The sequence below is a fragment of the Homo sapiens genome, chromosome 14 (assembly GCF_000001405.40).
Source record: "Homo sapiens chromosome 14, GRCh38.p14 Primary Assembly".
Classification (NCBI taxonomy): domain Eukaryota; kingdom Metazoa; phylum Chordata; class Mammalia; order Primates; family Hominidae; genus Homo; species Homo sapiens.
The window spans coordinates 99,328,372-99,345,290 of NC_000014.9; the positions used below are offsets into that span (position 1 = coordinate 99,328,372).

The following is a 16,919-nucleotide window of genomic DNA, read 5'->3' on the forward strand; positions in this document are numbered from 1 at the left end:
AGATGATCAGGTTAAGATGAGGTCACCGGGCACGGTGGTTCACACCTGTAATCCCAGCACTTTGGGAGGCCGAGGCGGGTGGATCAAGAGGTCAGGAGTTCAAGACCAGCCTGGCCAACATGGTGGAACCCTGTCTCTACTAAAAATACAAAAATTAGCCGGGTGTGGTGGAGGGTGCCTGTAATCCCAGCTACTCGGGAGGCTGAGGCAGGAGAATTGCTTGAACCCAGGAGGCGGAGGTTGCAGTGAGCCAAGATCACACCATTAACTCCAAAGGTTAGTGGTTAGTGCCCACTCCAGCCTGGGCAACAGAGCAAGACTCTGTCTTGGAAAAAAAAAATGAGGTTATGAGGTGGGTCCTGATCGGACACTGCTGTGTCCTTATGAAAGGGGGAGTCTGGACACAGACAGCCTCCTAGGAGAGCACCACACGATGATAAAGGCAGAAACCAGAGTGATGCCTCTACAAGCCGAGCAATGTCACAGATCACCAGAAGCCAGGAGACTGGCCTAGGACAGAGCAGGAGACAGCCAGCCCTGCCGAACCCTCAATCTCAGAGCCCCAGCCTCCAGAACTACAGGACAATAACCATCTATTGTTACACTGCCCAGTGTGCATTGCTTTGTGACGGCAGCTGATATGGTTTGGCTGTGTCCCCACCCAAATCTCACCTTGAATTGTAGTTCCCATAATCCCCACGTGTCATAGGAGGGACCCAGTGGGAGGTAACTGAATCAAGTAGGGGTTTTCCCATGCTATTCTCGAGATAGTGAGTGAATTCTCACAAGATCTGATGGTTTTACAAGGGGCTTTTCTCCCTTTCTTTGGCACTTTTCCCACTGCCATGTGAAGAAGGTGCCTTGCTTTCCCTTCCCCTTCCGCCATGATTGTAAGTTTCCTGGGGCTTCCCAGCCAGACAGAACTGTGAGTCAATTAAACCTCTTTCCTTGGCCGGGCGCGGTGGCTCATGCCTCTAATCCTAGCATTTTGCGAGGCCAAGGTGGGCAGATCACCTGAGGTCAGGAGTTCAAGACCAGCCTGGCCAACATGGTGAAACCCCATCTCCACTAAAAATACAAAAATTAGCTGGGCATGGTGGCGCACGCCTGTAATCCCAGCTACTCGGGAAGCTGAGGCAAGAGAATCACTTGAACCCAGGAGGTAGAGGTTGCAGTGAGCTGAGATCAATCGAGCCACTGCACTCCAGCCTGGGCAACAGAGCAACAGAGCAAGACTCCATCTCAAAAAAAAAAAAAAAGGAAAGAAAGAAAAAAAAACTCTTTCCTTTATAAATTACACAGTCTCAGGTATTTCTTCATAGCAGCGTGACAATGGACTAATACAGCAGCCTTAGCAAGTGAATAGAGATCTGGGTGGAAATTTGGTGAGAACCAGTGCTAGTTGAATGTGTACAATGAGATAAGCCAACATCTTGCCTTTGAGGTAGGAGGCTTCAGAGTCAGGTGCGGCTGATGACCATGCATGCTGAGCATTTTTTACGTAGCAGACAGACAACCTCTCACGCTTCCGTGTCTGCTCACCTGGCCCTGCTAGGCAGTCACTAGCACCACCCTCTACTTAGACACAAGAAGAAGGGATGTGGGTGGGTGGCTTGCTGGGGTTGGCTGTGGGACGTGAGCCCAGGTGGCCTGACTCCAGAGCCCAAATTCCTAAATGACAAGTTCTCCTATTCCGCCAGCAGGTGTGTGTTGGCCCCAGCTCTGACTTTCACTGGCTGTGCTGTTTAAACACACCTCTGTGATACTCGGTTTTCCCATCTACAAAATGGAGTCTTCCTCGAAGAAGAGGTGAGGAAAGGAGCCAGGTTGGGGGCATGCCCAGGACTGAGCCTGCAGAGGTGACTTCCTTGGGGGACAAATAGGACAAGAACATGTGTACTGATGGTTCTCAGACAAGGTCGACCGTGCTGAGGGCCATCTGAGTCAGACAGAGAGGGGGTAGAGGGGTATGCATGCCACCTGCACAGGTACCATCACACTGTCACCCCTGGCAGGGGAGAGAGCTGGGATGAGGACACTGTCACCACATCCTGAGTCTGAAATCCAGCGGGTGTCCAAGCGAGCCCAAGGGAAAGGGTCTTTCACCCATTGCCATGCTCAGGAGAAGCCAGTGCTTGGGCTTGTGCCCTGGACCTTGGCATGCTGGGTGCTGCAGGTCCCCACCCCGCCATGGACTTTGCAAGGAAGAGTGAGAGCCTCTCCAGCTGGTCATCCCTGGTCCCACTCACGTGGCCAAAGACAGTGCGGGAGGGTGGGAGCAGTGATGGAGAACAAGCTTGCATAAAGGCCCACCCTTAGGCTGCCTATCTGCACAGTTACCCAGCTCCCCACACACACTGGGCGTTTCACCAGCTCCTCTCCCACCATGTCGTCATGGCCTTGGTCCCCACTGAACAGGGGCCACCTGGAGAGAGCGGGCTCCCCTGTTCCCCACTATTGCCCCGGCTGTGCTTCTCCCTGCCCTGGGCAATCCACCCCCTCCACTGCCGTGGGGTATCCTTCCCGTGCACATCAGTTATGGCACATACCCCGGCCTGGAAAGGTCAGAGGCCCTCAGGACCGAGACCAGGAGCCCCACAGCATTCGAGGCTCTCCACTCTGGGCCTGCCTGGCCTCCCAGCTTCCACCTCCTCCATTGCTGACGGGGACCTTCCCATCAGGCCATGCACAACCCCCATGTGCGGCTAGTCTCCCCCCAGGCCTTTGTGCACAGTTTTTTCTGCCAGAAATGCTCTTCCCACCCTTCCCCACCCACAGAAGCCCAGCTCTTGGTTCAAGCATTCTTCAACACACCCCGCTGTTGTGGCTCCCCCAGGGCCCCAGGGCCTGGCCTCTGTCTTGCCTTCCTGCTCCAGAGCTCTCTACTCTGGACGTGGAAGTCAGATGAATTCCCTAAAATACGCCAAAGAGCTTGCATCTGTCCTGCGTGAAAACCAGCCGTGGCTCCTATGTGTGCAGGAAACCCCATCTCCTCACCTGGCCTCCCCCTCCTGTACCTCTGTGCCTGCCAGCCGTCCCCTCTCACACCCTCCACTTGTTCTCCTCCCTCTTTGGGGCTAGACACACCTGGGTTTACATTTCTGTTCCCATGTGACCTTGGACATGTCACCCACTCTCACTGAACTGAGTGAGGTTTTTGTTTTTTGTTTTTTTGTTTTGAGAAAGGGTCTCACTCTGTCATCCAGGCTGGAGTGCAGTGGCACAATCACAGCTCACTGCAGCCTTGACTTCCCAGGTTCAAGCAATCCTCCCACCTCGGCCTCCTGAGTGCTGGGGCTATAGGCACACACCACCATGCCCAGCTAAGTTTTTGGATTTTTTGTAGAGACGGGGTTTCACCATGTTGTGAATTGGAACTTTTTAAGTTTCCTTGCAGCTCTGAGGTTCTCACGAGGGAGGAGACGCCAAGTTGGGAACATCTGTTCAAGGGGTCGCTAGGCCAGTTGGAAAAGGAGTCTCCCAGAGTCAGCCCCCCAAGAACATCTGCAAAGGGCTCATGTGCGACCCTGCAGTTTGATCTACATAAACCACTAACCTTTGGAGTCTTAGAGAGGATTAAAATAGGAAACCATCTCCGCCTCCCACACGGGGTAGACAGTTTTCACAGTTCACACAGCTCTTTGGCTCAGAGATCCGGGGCTGCCGTTCCAGCATTTTCAGACATGACGATCAATACTTTAAAAATGGATTAAAAGGAAAGGTGAATAGCGATGACAGCAGGATGTCTGGTTACCAAGGCCTTCACCTGCCTGCCGGGATATCTCCTCTTGCTTCTGAACGAGCCCAGAGTGGGACCTGCACATGCACACACAAGCACACACATGCCCGCACATGCCAGCACACACACACACAAGCACACACACATGCCCACACGTGCCAGCACACACACACACACAAGCACACACACATGCCTGCACGTGCCAGCACACACACACACACAAGCACACACACATGCCCGCACATCCCAGCACACACACACAAGCACACACACATGCCCACACGTGCCAGCACACACACACACACACAAGCACACACACATGCCCGCACGTGCCAGCACACACACACAAAGCACACACACGCCCGCACGTGCCAGCACACACACACACAAGCACACACATGCCTGCACATGCCAGCACACACACACACAAGCACACACACATGCCCGCACATGCCAGCACACACACACACACAAGCACACACACATGCCCGCACATGCCAGCACACAGACACACACAAGCACACACACATGCCCACACGTGCCAGCACACAGACACACACAAGCACACACACATGCCCGCACATGCCAGCACACAGACACACACATGCCTGCACATGCCAGCACACACACACACAAGCACACACACATGCCCGCACATGCCAGCACACAGACACACACAAGCACACACACATGCCCGCACATGCCAGCACACAGACACACACAAGCACACACACATGCCCGCACATGCCAGCACACACACACACAAGCACACACACATGCCCGCACATGCCAGCACACACACACAAGCACACACACATGCCCGCACATGCCAGCACACACACACACAAGCACACACACATGCCCGCACATGCCAGCACACACACACACACAAGCACACACACATGCCCGCACATGCCAGCACACACACACACAAGCACACACACATGCCCGCACATGCCAGCACACAGACACACACAAGCACACACACATGCCCGCACATGCCAGCACACACACACAAAGCACACACACATGCCCGCACATGCCAGCACACACACACACACAAGCACACACACATGCCCGCACATGCCAGCACACAGACACACACAAGCACACACACATGCCTGCACATGCCAGCACACACACACAAGCACACATACATGCCCACACGTGCCAGCACACAGACACACACACATGCCCACACATGCCAGCACACACACACAAGCGCACACACATGCCTGCACATGCCAGCACACAGACACACACAAGCATACACACATGCCTGCACATGCCAGCACACAGAGACACATGCATGGACGCTGCTCACCAGTGAGTTTTCTGCGAGGCCAGAAGAACTTGAGCTCGGGGGCTCCTCACTTGCAAGGCCCCTTCTGACATCTGGAAGGAGCAGAGGGTCATGGACATAGAGGAACAGCCAAAGTCAAGGCTGGAAAATTAGGAAAAGTCAAATCTAAGAGGAGACCAGAGGGCCAGGGTGAGGCTTTCCATGACAACACCTGCGAGGAGAAAGGACAGTTCAGGTGGCTTCACATTTGGGCACACAGAGTTGGTCCTGAGAGATACCCTTGGGGTCACCCATCCCCACCATTCTGCAGATGAGGAAATCCAGGCCCAGTGAAGCAGTAGCCTGCTGTCCTTACCCCTGCGACCTGGACACAGGTGGCCTTTTCTTCGGGCTACCAGCTGGCGATGGGAAGGACATGAAGGCTTGGCCTCTGGTTCACCCAGAACAACGAGCTCCAGGGAGTGGCATTTGTTCATTGGACAAATATTGATTGAGCTCCTCTGTGCCAGAGCCCCATCTAGGTCCTTCGGGTTGCAAGGTGCAGTCTCTGTCCCTGGGGAGCCCCAGGTCTGGGGGAGACTGCCCTGGCAGTGCTGAGCGGACAGCAGGACAGGAGGCCATTCAGGAAGGGGGATGCTGGAGGTGAGGGGTGAGAGCTTCCAGGAGCCACAAGTGGCTTGGCAAGGCCAGAGCACGGGGGGCGGGGGAGCCAGCCACTCGGCACTCACTGACGCTTGCCTGAGAGTCGGGGTGGGCTCCTGGCATCAAAGCCGCCTCTCCTGGAGCTCCTGGCGCTCCTGGCTCTGAGAACCCAGACGAGGAACCTCCCTCAGTTCCTATCTAACAGTTTGCTTTCTGGGCAACCTTTCCCATCTCCGAGTTACATGCTCGGAGGAGACTTCAGAGTGTCGCGCTGACATTTCAACTTCTCCAAGCTGCTTGTCACCTCCGTGTTTTATTTCTATGCAGCATGTAAGAGGGCGGTATCTGGCCAGCGTGGAGCCCAGTGAACGGGTCTGGCCTTTTCCCATGGAACATTTGAAAGGTTCTTGGCAAGATCCTGAATACCTATCAGAGGGGGCTGCCGAGCCCACTGGAAAAGCTCCAGGGAGAGGGAAGAGAGTTCCAGAAACCAAAGAGACTTTCTGAACCTCCAATCTAAGGAAAGCACCTGCTGGCGGGTTCCACCAACCAGGGGTTACAGGAAGGCAGGCTTGTAAACCTATGAAAGGCGACCTGCCGTCAGAAGCTGTGTGATTTAGGGGAAAGCGGCAGGACCCGGAGCCAGAGGACCTGTGTTCCAGTCTCAGCTCCCAGCTCTCCCTCTTTCTGGCTGTGTGAGGCTGGTCTGCTTGCTGACCATGTCTGGGCTCCAATCTTGTTCTCTACATAAGTGGGATAATAATAAATAGCTCATGGGGGTCCCTGGCCTTTGTAAAATGTCCAAGCTTTTCAAAATAAAAAAACACCATCTGTACAAGAGGGATTATTGCTGTCATTAGTAACAGACATGATGAAAGGAAGATCCTGAATCCCTGAGTCACCAGCAGGAGCAAAACTGCCCACTAAGCTTGACGGCTCACTCAGGACCAACGCAGAAAATGCCACTCTGCGTCTTCATTAAGCCACTACATTTAGGGAGCATCTTTGTAAACAAAACTCAGCCTCCCCAGTACTCACACATGTTCCTTTGTTATTCACCTTCCCAGGGCAGGGCTGCAGCCCCTGAGAGTGCCATTATGTGCATGATGCCAACGATAATGGCAAGTCGCCAGTGACTTCTAGAAGAAGATTTGGGAGGAGTGTAAAGACTTTCAAGTTGAGCTGCATGGGAAGGAAAAGCAGGGGGGTTCATGGGAAGATCATATGGGTTCAAGGGAGACTTTTCAGAAAGTTCTTATGTTTATTACAATATTAATGAGAAGCTGGGCACGGTAGCTCACACCTGTAATCCCAGCACTTTGAGAGGCAGAGACGGGAGGATTGCTTGAGGCCTGGAGTTTGAGACCAGCCTGGGCAACATAGTGAAACCCTGTCTCTACAAAGAATTAAAATTTAAAAATTAGCCGGGCCTGGTGGTGCATCCCTGTGTTCCACGGGAGGCTGAGGTGGGAGGATCTCCTGAACCCAGGAGGTCGAGGCTGCAGTGAGCTGTGATTGTGCCACTGCACTCCAGCCTGGGCAACAGAGTGAGACCTTGTCTAAGTAAATAAATAAATAAAAATATGAGTGGGAAGGAGCCAGATGTTGGGGGGAGAAGAAGACAAACATGTAGGAGGGGAGGCCTTGATTGAATATAAGGTCCCTAGGAAGAGCGGGAGACAGGACTTAGTACGCAGATAGAGGAATTGATCCCTTGTAGGAGAGTGGACCCCACTCAAGTAATTGCTGTGAATATTTAATAATATAAACCGCGTCAAGTACTTAGCACAGCAGCCAGCACTTAGGAAAAAGTATCTGATGTTAAATGATATCATTTGAGATTGGGAATATATGTTCATTTTGATTAAATGCCTTTAGGTATCTTTCAGATAATCATGTATGTTTTTTCTTATGTAATTTGTGGATGTGATTTCTTATACTAATAGGTTTTCTTTAACATTAAACCATTCTTACATTCCTGAGACAAAGTCTACTGGACTTTGATGAATAATTAACATGCTATTGAATTTGACTGGTAAGTATTTTATTTAGAAATTTTACATCTATGTTCACAGGTGAGATGGGTCCATCATTATATTCAAGGGTCAACTTTGGTAGATTTTTGGTGATGAGCTTATTTTAACTTTGCAAGATTATTTGGGTCATTGATCTTTCCTTCTTTTTCTTTTTTTTTTTTTTTTGAGACAGAGTCTTTTCTCTGTTGCCCAGGCTAGAGTGCAGTGGCGCGATCTCAGCTCACTGCAAGCTCCACCTCCCAGGTTCAAGCAATTATCCTGCCTCAGCCTCCCAAGTAGCTGGGACTACAGGCACCCGCCACCACACCTAGCTAGTTTTTTCATATTTTCAGTAGAGACGGGGTTTCACTGTGTTAGCCAGGATGATCTCGATCTCCTGACCTCATGATCTGCCCCCCTTGACTTCCCAAAGTGCTAGGATTACAGGCATGAGCCACCGCACCCAGCCCTGGGTCGTTGATCTTTTCTACACTGTGGAAGAGTTATTTATATTTATATTTATATATACATATATACACACACATACATATATATATATATATATATATATATATATATATACACACTCTGTTCCTTGAATATTCTAAATAACCTATATTTAAAACTACCTGAGTCAGAGGAGACGAAAAAAAAACAAACTATCTGGCCTGAAACCTTCTTTTGAAAATATTTTCATGAAAATTTTAGTGAGTTATATAATTATTAAAGTTTTGTGTATCTTCTCAAGTTTTTGTTGTTGTTGTTGTTGTTGTTGAGACAGCATCTCGCTCTGTCGCCCAGGCTGGAGTGCAGTGGCACGATCTTGGCTCACTGCAACCTTCGCCTCTTGGGTTCAAGCAATTCTCCTGCCTCAACCTCCTGAGTAGCTAGGACTACAGGCACCCACCACCACACCCGGCTAATTTTTGTATTTTTAGTAGAGACGGAGTTTTGCCGTGTTGGCAGGCTGGTCTTGAACTCCTGACTTCTGGTGATCCACCCGCCTCAGCCTCCCAAAGTGCTGGGATGACAGGCATGAGCCACCACGCCCTGCCATTCTCAAGATTTTTGATAATTTATAGTGTTCCAGATAATTGCCTATTTTCATTGATATTTTCAAAGCATTAGCATAATTATTACATATATGTTATTCTTTTTGTAAATCAACTCTGCAAGTATATTCCCTTTGTTGTGTTATGTATATTTTGCAACTTTTTATTTAACTAGAGTTACCAGTTTATTGAAATTCCTTCATTTTTCAAATTAGCTCACATTTATCTATCAACTCTGTTTTCTTCTATATTGAGTTTGGCTTCATCTTCTTTAATTTTATTAGGATTGCTTTTCCCTCCTTTTCTAATTTATTGAGTTGAATGTTTAAATCATACACGTTTTAGCTTTCTTTTTGGTAAACAATGCATTTAATACTATGACTGTCTTGAGGAATGGCTTTATTCTTATAAGAAATAGTGTTTTTATTTTCATTACTTTCCAAATATTCTGTAGATTGTATTTTGTTCCTCTGTGTTTCAGCAGTTAAGAAGATTTTTTTAAAAAAATTACAGTTACTTATCGTTTAATTTTGTTTTGATCAGAAAATGTGATCTGTGCAACGTATGTTTTTTGGGACACAATAGGATGTTCATGACCAGTGTATCCTCGGTTCTGGTCAGTGTCCCATGGATGCTTGAAAATAAGGTGAAAATGAGGTGCATTCTTTACTTGTGTGCGCAAAAGAAGACACGTTATTGATTATACCGTTAAAATCTCCATTACCTTATTTTTTTATCTGTTGATTTCTCATTCCTTAAAAATGATGTGTTGGCTGAGCTCGGTGGCTCATGCTTGTAATCCCAGCACTTTGGGAGGCTGAGGCAGGTGGATCACCTGAAGTCAGGAGTTTAAGACCAGCCTGACCAACATGGAGAAACCCTGTCTCTACTAAAAAAATTACAAAATTAGCTGAGCATGGTGGTGCATGCCTGTAGTCCCCACTACTCAGGAGGCTGAGGCAGGAAAATCTCTTGAACCCGGGAGGCGGAGGTTGCAGTGAGCCGAGATCGCGCCATTGCACTCCAGTCTGGGCAACAAGAGTGAAACTCCATCTCAAAAAAAAAAAAAATTATGTGTCCAAGCTCTCCCTACAATGAATTTCTATCACTTACTCCAAATATTTCAAATAGTTTTGCCTTACAAAGTTTAAGTATTATACCCACATGGTAGATTAGACTTTTATTTCACTCACCAGACCTTTTTAGCCTCGTGGTTGGGATCTACTTAATCTGTTAGTAACACTGAAAATCTTGGGGTTTTTCATTTAAATTGGAATTAGTCTGACATATATTTGCCTTGTGTGAGGGCAGGGTGCGTGCATGCATGCATGCATGTGTGTGTGTGCATGTGTGTGCATGCATGCATGCATGTGTGTGTGCAAGTGTGTGCGTGCATGCGTGTGCATGCATATGTGTGCATGTGGTTTTTAGATATATATACCTGAGCCCCTTGTCTTTGTACTTCATATGCTGTTTCCTCTTCCCAAAATGTTCCTACCTTCCATGATGATCTCAGCATCACCTCCTCTCATCACCTACTCTCTATCTCCAGAGAGCATTACTCCATCTCAGTTCAGTGTTATTTCGATACTTGATCAAAGATCACCTCCTCCAAGAAGCCCTCTGACTTGCTCCTTCCTCTGAACCCAGAACTTTCTCCATCCTTCTCTGAAACACCAGCTACTTTGTAGGATAATGAGTTTTAAAGGTATTTTTTTTCTATGACCAATATATTTTCCAAATTAAAACTTAGTGCGTGGGGTGTGTCCATAGCAAGTGTGGTTTGGGAGGGGAAAAACCAACTTGATGAGCTTGGAATTTTTCTGAAAAGTCTTAGATATTTGGTTGCTAGACGATTCTTCCTCCACTAAGATAAAGCAAAATAAAATACAGCCGGCAGACCTGCCAAACCATTTACTATCTGGGCAAGCCGTACCACCTCCGAACCTCAAATTTACCATCTGTAAAATTAGAATAACAATGCTGTCATCGGAAGTACTTGGTAAGAGAAAGAGAGGCAGGAGTTAATGTGGTTATAATGAATGAGGATGGACTTTGAAAATTATAAACTCTATCAGCACCAGATAATAAATCCCTTTTAAGTAGGTTCCACGAGTGTCTCCTCTTTGTGTACCCTCCGTCCCCAGTGTCCCTGTCATGGGGGACTTGGAAAACCCCTCTATCTAGCCTAGCATTTCTGTCACCACCATATAACTGTTTTTCCTTCTTATGGAAAACAGATGGGATTAACAGATTGTAACTATTGTCTCTTGTTCTTAAGCAAGGTACACAAGGATCTGTGTGTCCCCTTACAGAAGACAGGCTTCATGGCTGCCACAGGGACGGGAACATATGAGGTCTGCAAATACCCTCAGACTTCATCTCTGTTTAGAAATCAAGCTTGCCTGGTGTATCAGTTGGGATCATGTTCAACCACATGTGACTGAAAACCCAAAATAACAGTGACTCAAATACAAGAGAAACTTATTTCTTTTTCACTTTGAAGAGATCCAGAAGTACGAAATGCAGGACTGATGCAAGAGACACATGGCCTTCAGGAACGTGGGCTCTTTCTAGCTTGCTGCTGAACCATCAGCAAGGAGTGACCCTCATGATCTAAGATGGCTGCTAGAGTTCCAGCCATCACATCCACATTCCAGGTAGCAGGAGAGAGGAAGGATTGAAGAAGGGCAAGCTCCTCCTTTTCAGAGATGACTTCCTGGAAGTCACACAGGACACTTCTGCTTATACTTCCTTGGACAGAAGTTATTTACTTAGCTGCAAGGAAAACTAGGAGATATATTTCTTCTTTTGATAGTTAAAATGAGAGCTAAAAATCAAGGTGCTGAGATGGCCATCTAAGATCAGCTGGCAGGAGAAGATTCCAGGGACTTCCTAGAGGGAAAAGTATCGTAGAGCAAGAGATCTTGCCAGTTTAATCTTGATAGGTTTCTTGAGGCTGGGCTTGTTTCTGGAATAGTCTGATTCAGCCACCCTGGCACAAAAAAAAAGGATAATCTAAAAAGCTGTGACGAGGGTTTCCAGTCCATCCTGCTGTGGGACCGTCCTTCTCTAGTAGCAGTTTTGAAGACCTTCAGCTTCAAGGAGGAGTGTCTGAGTGACATTTAGTGGGAACATGGGGGCCAGTGCCTAGGCTCCATCCGCACCCAGAGTTCTTGGATTGTGCCCAGAGATGAGGGGCCCTGAATCTGATTAGTTTAACTACTAAAAGAAATGTGTGTTCATTTTGTATCCTGAGCTGCTGGAAGAGAAAGCATCAGCTGTCTAAGGAAGTACTGAACTTGGTATAAATGTTCCTAGGATCTGAGTTCCTTATTTTCTGGGGAATCCTCACCAAAGGGTGTGATGGGGCAAACTGGGATCCATTTGCATATGTGAATCCTTCACTCTAGCACGACACTCATCCTAGATGTGAAAACGTCCCATACCCTAAACTACAAAACCTGGATGGGCACTTAAAGGTCACACGTGTGCACATGCACACACACACACATAGATGAAGAATGAGGCCAGAGAGGGAAGGACTTGGCCAAGGTGGCACAGCAATGGAACTCATCATTAGGATTCCGAGAGGGAGATAATAATGAGAGCGTCTCAGAGCTACAAAAGTGGGAAATGAACTCCTGCAGCCATTCGACCAGGAAGATGGTGGGAAATCATTCTTCCCAAAGACAGATAAGCCAGTCCCCAAGGAAGCAGGGCCCATCAAGGATATCCTGATGACTGTCACTCCAAGAGGCTTGCTCCAACCCCTGGAGCCCACCTCCTAATTCAACAAATGAGGAAAATGGCAGAAAAGCAAATGCAGCCACCAGAGCAGAAGGCATGAGGAGGTGGGACCAGGTGGTCCCAGGATTGATGGGGAAATCAATTTGTCCTGGGAAAAAAGTGCCAAACCAAGTGTCCCAAAGTCCTCCATGTCTGTTCTGAGGGAACAGAGATGGAGCTGGACATGTGGACTGATGGAAGGAACAGTGACTGGCACCCAAGGACTGGACCCTAGAAACCTGAGGAATCTTGGCCAGGTCAATGACTGTCCCTTCAAGTCTGTGCCCCCATCTGTGACATGAAGCCTCTGGACTATCTGATCTCAAAGTGCCATCCAGCTCTGAGTGTCATCTTCTCTGCAGAGAGGTCAGCAGGGATGGGCATGAGCCAAATGGGGAAAGAAGCACCGGCTGGGGAAGGACGAGGAAGAAGGCATCCGGGGACAGCTGTGCCTCTGCACCTCAGGCTCCATCTCCAAGGAGCCGGGTCTTCTCTCCATGCCTCTGCTTCCTCATCAGCAAAATGAAAAGGAAAGTCTCCACCCTGATTACCTCGCAGAATTTCATTAGGATCCAAGCATAATGCTTTACCAACTGTCAGACGCTAGGCACATGCACAGGTGGGCTTTTCTTAAAATTGCGCTTTTAGTTAATTGGATAGAGAATCAAGAGATACAGACTCCAGTCTTGTGATCATGGAGGAGCCACTTTTCTCTGGCCTCAGTGTCTCCTTGTTCCACGGGAGGCTGGACCACCGATGATCCTGAAAACTCCTTGAAGCTCGTGTGTTGTCATTTCCATCAACCAGATAGTCTCTCACCTGAGCCTAAAATGCTCTGGAAGGCTGGTAGGGCTGGTGCTGGAGTCCTGAGTGCTCTGATCGCAGAGCCTGGACTGGCCATGTTGAGGCACTGATGCTTCTAGCTCCCTTTCTCAGACTCCACAGTGGTAGTGGGGGAAGATAGGAGAGTGTTTGCTGTGTCGTAGTATTTAGGATTGCCCACTAAGCTATTGCATTTGTGTTTTATTTGACTCTAAGTGCCATGTGATGAATAAATATTCCCAGAGGAGGCATCTGTCTTACTCATTCTGGCTGTAGCTCACGTATGTGTCCATCTTGGCCCACTTGAATTGTAAATCATTTTAGGTAGGTGGAAAGAAGTGGATCCTAAGCCATCTGTCCATTTTAACTCCAGCACTCTCTTTAATCATTGTATTTTTAATTTTTATGTTTAAATTAAATTTAATTTATTTAATTGACAAATAACAATTGTACACACTCATGGGGTACATAGGGATGTTTCAATACATATGATGTGGAGTGATCAGATCAGGATACTTAACACAGCCATCACCTCAAACGTTTATCATTTCCTTGTGTTGGTAACATTCAGTATCCTCCTTCTAGCTACTTGAAACTACGCAATGTATTACTGGGTTTTTGTGGTTTTGTTTTGTTTTGTTTGAGACAAGGTCTCACTCTATCACACAGGCTGGAGCACAGTGGCGTGATCATGGCTCACAGCAGCCTCAACCTCCTGGGCTCGAGAGATCCTCCCACCTCAGGGCTACAGGCACGTGCCACCATGCCTGTCTAATTTTTGTATTTTTGTAGAGATGGGGTTTCAACATGTTGCCCGGGCTGGTCTCAAACTCCTGAGCTGAAGAGATCTGCCCACCTCAGCCTCCCAAAGTGCTGGGATTGCAGGCATGAGCTACCACACCTGGCCAAAGTATTATGGTTAACTATAGTCATCCCACAGTGCTCTAGGATGCTAGAACTTATTCCTCCTAACTAGCTGTGATTTTGTATCCTTTAACAAATCTCCCCCATCCCTCCCTTTCCCCTAACCATTGTATTCTTTTAACCCATGAAGACTATCCTCTAGGGGGATGATACAAAACAAGACTTCATAGAATACTGTGGAATTTTGTCAGGGTTTCTTAACCTTGGCTATTGTCCTACGGAATGTGATGGGGCTCTACGCAATGTCCTGGGTGACACTGATGGGGTTCCAGGAAGGCTGGTGAGGGATCACCGAGCATTTCACAAGTTGGGGGAGCACTCCCACGAGATCTGGGATGGGGAAGCCAAGAAGAGCCAGGCTTGTGAATAAGGTGGATGCAGGGGGCAGCCAGGGTGGGGCTCAGAGTTGGCCAGGCCCAGACCCGACACACAGGAGAAGCTCAGTTGAGCTGTAGGTACAGACAGTAGAGTCGGGTCAAAGTGGAGACGGAGGGACCAGAGCATTCTAGAAGACAGTGAAGGAAGGGGCTCTGCCAGGCCGGGGCAGAGGCAAAGGCAGAAGAGCCAGGAAGCACTTGTCCCCAAAGACAATCGAAGACCTCCCTGGAGACTAACAGAATGAGCACTTGGATCTGGACAGCTCACTACATAAAGGAAAAAGATGATGATTACATTCCTGCCACATCCATGTCCTCATGCCGCTCCTCATTCTTATTGTTTCAACCTGCAACCCCCACCACAAGTCACAAGCCAGTCAGTCACCCCTCCTCCCACCTCTTCCCACCCTACAAGGCCGGTTCTGCACAGAGGCCTCACGGTCAGGTGGCAGCACCAAGACCCTCAAGAAGGTGAGAGTGGGGCCAGGACGTCACTCCATATTCCAAAGGACTGAATGGATTCCATTTCAACCATGTTCCAGCCTTGCAAATACATGCTTCCAACTTTCATCGGCCTGGCCACATCATCTACAGCAGCACCCACTAATTATATGTATCTTTGCTTAAAAATCCCAGACAGCAAATCAAATATTCTCCTTACATTTTATTGTGTTCAGTAGACTTTCTTTCCCCCCCACCAAAAACATGAGTTTCCTGGTGATGGTGGTGGCGGTGGTGGTGGTGGTGGTGGTGGTGGTGGTGGTGGTGGTGGTGGTGGTGGTGGAGATGGATTAAGCCAAAAGGGAACCAATGGCCCTTATCCTAAACCCCTACCAGACTCTGAGACCTGGAGAACAGGGGCAGCCCCTGCTTCCTCACTGGGCGCCAAGATGACCCACACAAGACCTCGAAGGCTGTTGCAAGCACCACAGATACATTCATTTAATGAGCGAATGTGGGCCCCAGGTTGCAGTTTCTTGCTCCTAACTCCTAACGTGGACACACAGCCCCCAATAAAGTCACCTTGCTGCACACAGGCATACACACACCACACACGCCCTCCAGCCCACAGACCTTTTGGACTTCCCTAGAAGGGTCTTACATAGACTTATGCACAGAAACAACAGCTTTGGGCAGCCATGGGTGTCCCCCCTTTCCCCTTCCCGCTTTGGGCCCTTCCACCATACACAGCCCATGTGCCTGGCATCACCTCCCTCTCCCCGAGAGGCACCTCAGTGTGCCCGGCTGCTGCCACCACTTCCGCAGGTCACGGCTGCATTCCCTGGGCAGCATGTCTGCTGGCTCTGAGGGCCGGGAGCTGCAACGTCCTCAGGGCTTCTCAGAAAGCTCTGGATGATGGCGAGGAGAAGGGAGAAGGGACTGATCCACTTTACCGTTACCTCTTCCACCAAGCAACAGGGTGCTTGAAGAGTCAGCCCTCATCCAGATGGTCGGACTTTCTGCGCTAGCTAAGTCTGAATGAATGAGGTTTACATTTCTACTCAGTCACTCATCAACAACGTGCCGGTCAAACACAATCCCCTGAGCAGTGCCCGCGAACCATTCTTTTGTGACCGACACCATGCTCGGTGCTTTGTGCAGATGAGTTAGTGAATGAGAACCATAATTACTAGGGTTCAGTCAGCAGAGGAATAAAATGCAGCCATCAGTAATTCAGAAAAGGGCGTTCATGTAAAGCAGCAGTTGGTAAGCTTTTCCCGCAAACAGACAGTTAATACTTTTGGCTTTGCGGGCCACACAGTCTATCACAGCTACTCAGCTCTGCCATGGGAATGTGACAGTGGCTATTGACAACAGGCAAATCAATAGATGTGTGTTCCAATAAAACTTGATTTGGTATTTAATTTTTTTATTTTTATTTATGTATTTTATTTTTTTGAGACGAAGTCTCTGTCACCCAAGCTAGAATGTGATGGTGTGATCTCAACTCACTGTAACCTCCACCTCCCAGGATCAAGCGATTCTCCTGCCTCAGCCTCCCGAGTTGCTGGGATTACAGGCACGTGCCACCACACCTGGCTAATTTTTTGTATCTTTAGTAGAGACGAGGTTTCACCATGCTGGTCAGGCTGGTCTGACTTCAAATGATCCGCCCGCCTCAGCCTCCCAAAGTGCTGGGATTACAGGCATGAGTCACCACGCCGAGCCTTATTTTTTTAGATATAGGATCTCTCTCTGTCACCCAGGCTGGAGTGCAGTGGCATAATCATGGCTTACTGCAGCCTCCAACTCCCG

The 16,919-nt window shown here is 48.6% G+C and overlaps 2 annotated features.

The window, feature by feature from the left end:
- Positions 3,635–4,342: an enhancer, noted in NCBI's record as "H3K27ac-H3K4me1 hESC enhancer chr14:99798343-99799050 (GRCh37/hg19 assembly coordinates)". NCBI's record gives its function as "activates a minimal SCP1, AML or CMV promoter by ChIP-STARR-seq in primed H9 embryonic stem cells {active_cell/tissue: H9 hESC(primed)}" and the evidence as "EXISTENCE:reporter gene assay evidence [ECO:0000049][PMID:30033119]".
- Positions 4,343–5,049: an enhancer, noted in NCBI's record as "H3K27ac-H3K4me1 hESC enhancer chr14:99799051-99799757 (GRCh37/hg19 assembly coordinates)". NCBI's record gives its function as "activates a minimal SCP1, AML or CMV promoter by ChIP-STARR-seq in primed H9 embryonic stem cells {active_cell/tissue: H9 hESC(primed)}" and the evidence as "EXISTENCE:reporter gene assay evidence [ECO:0000049][PMID:30033119]".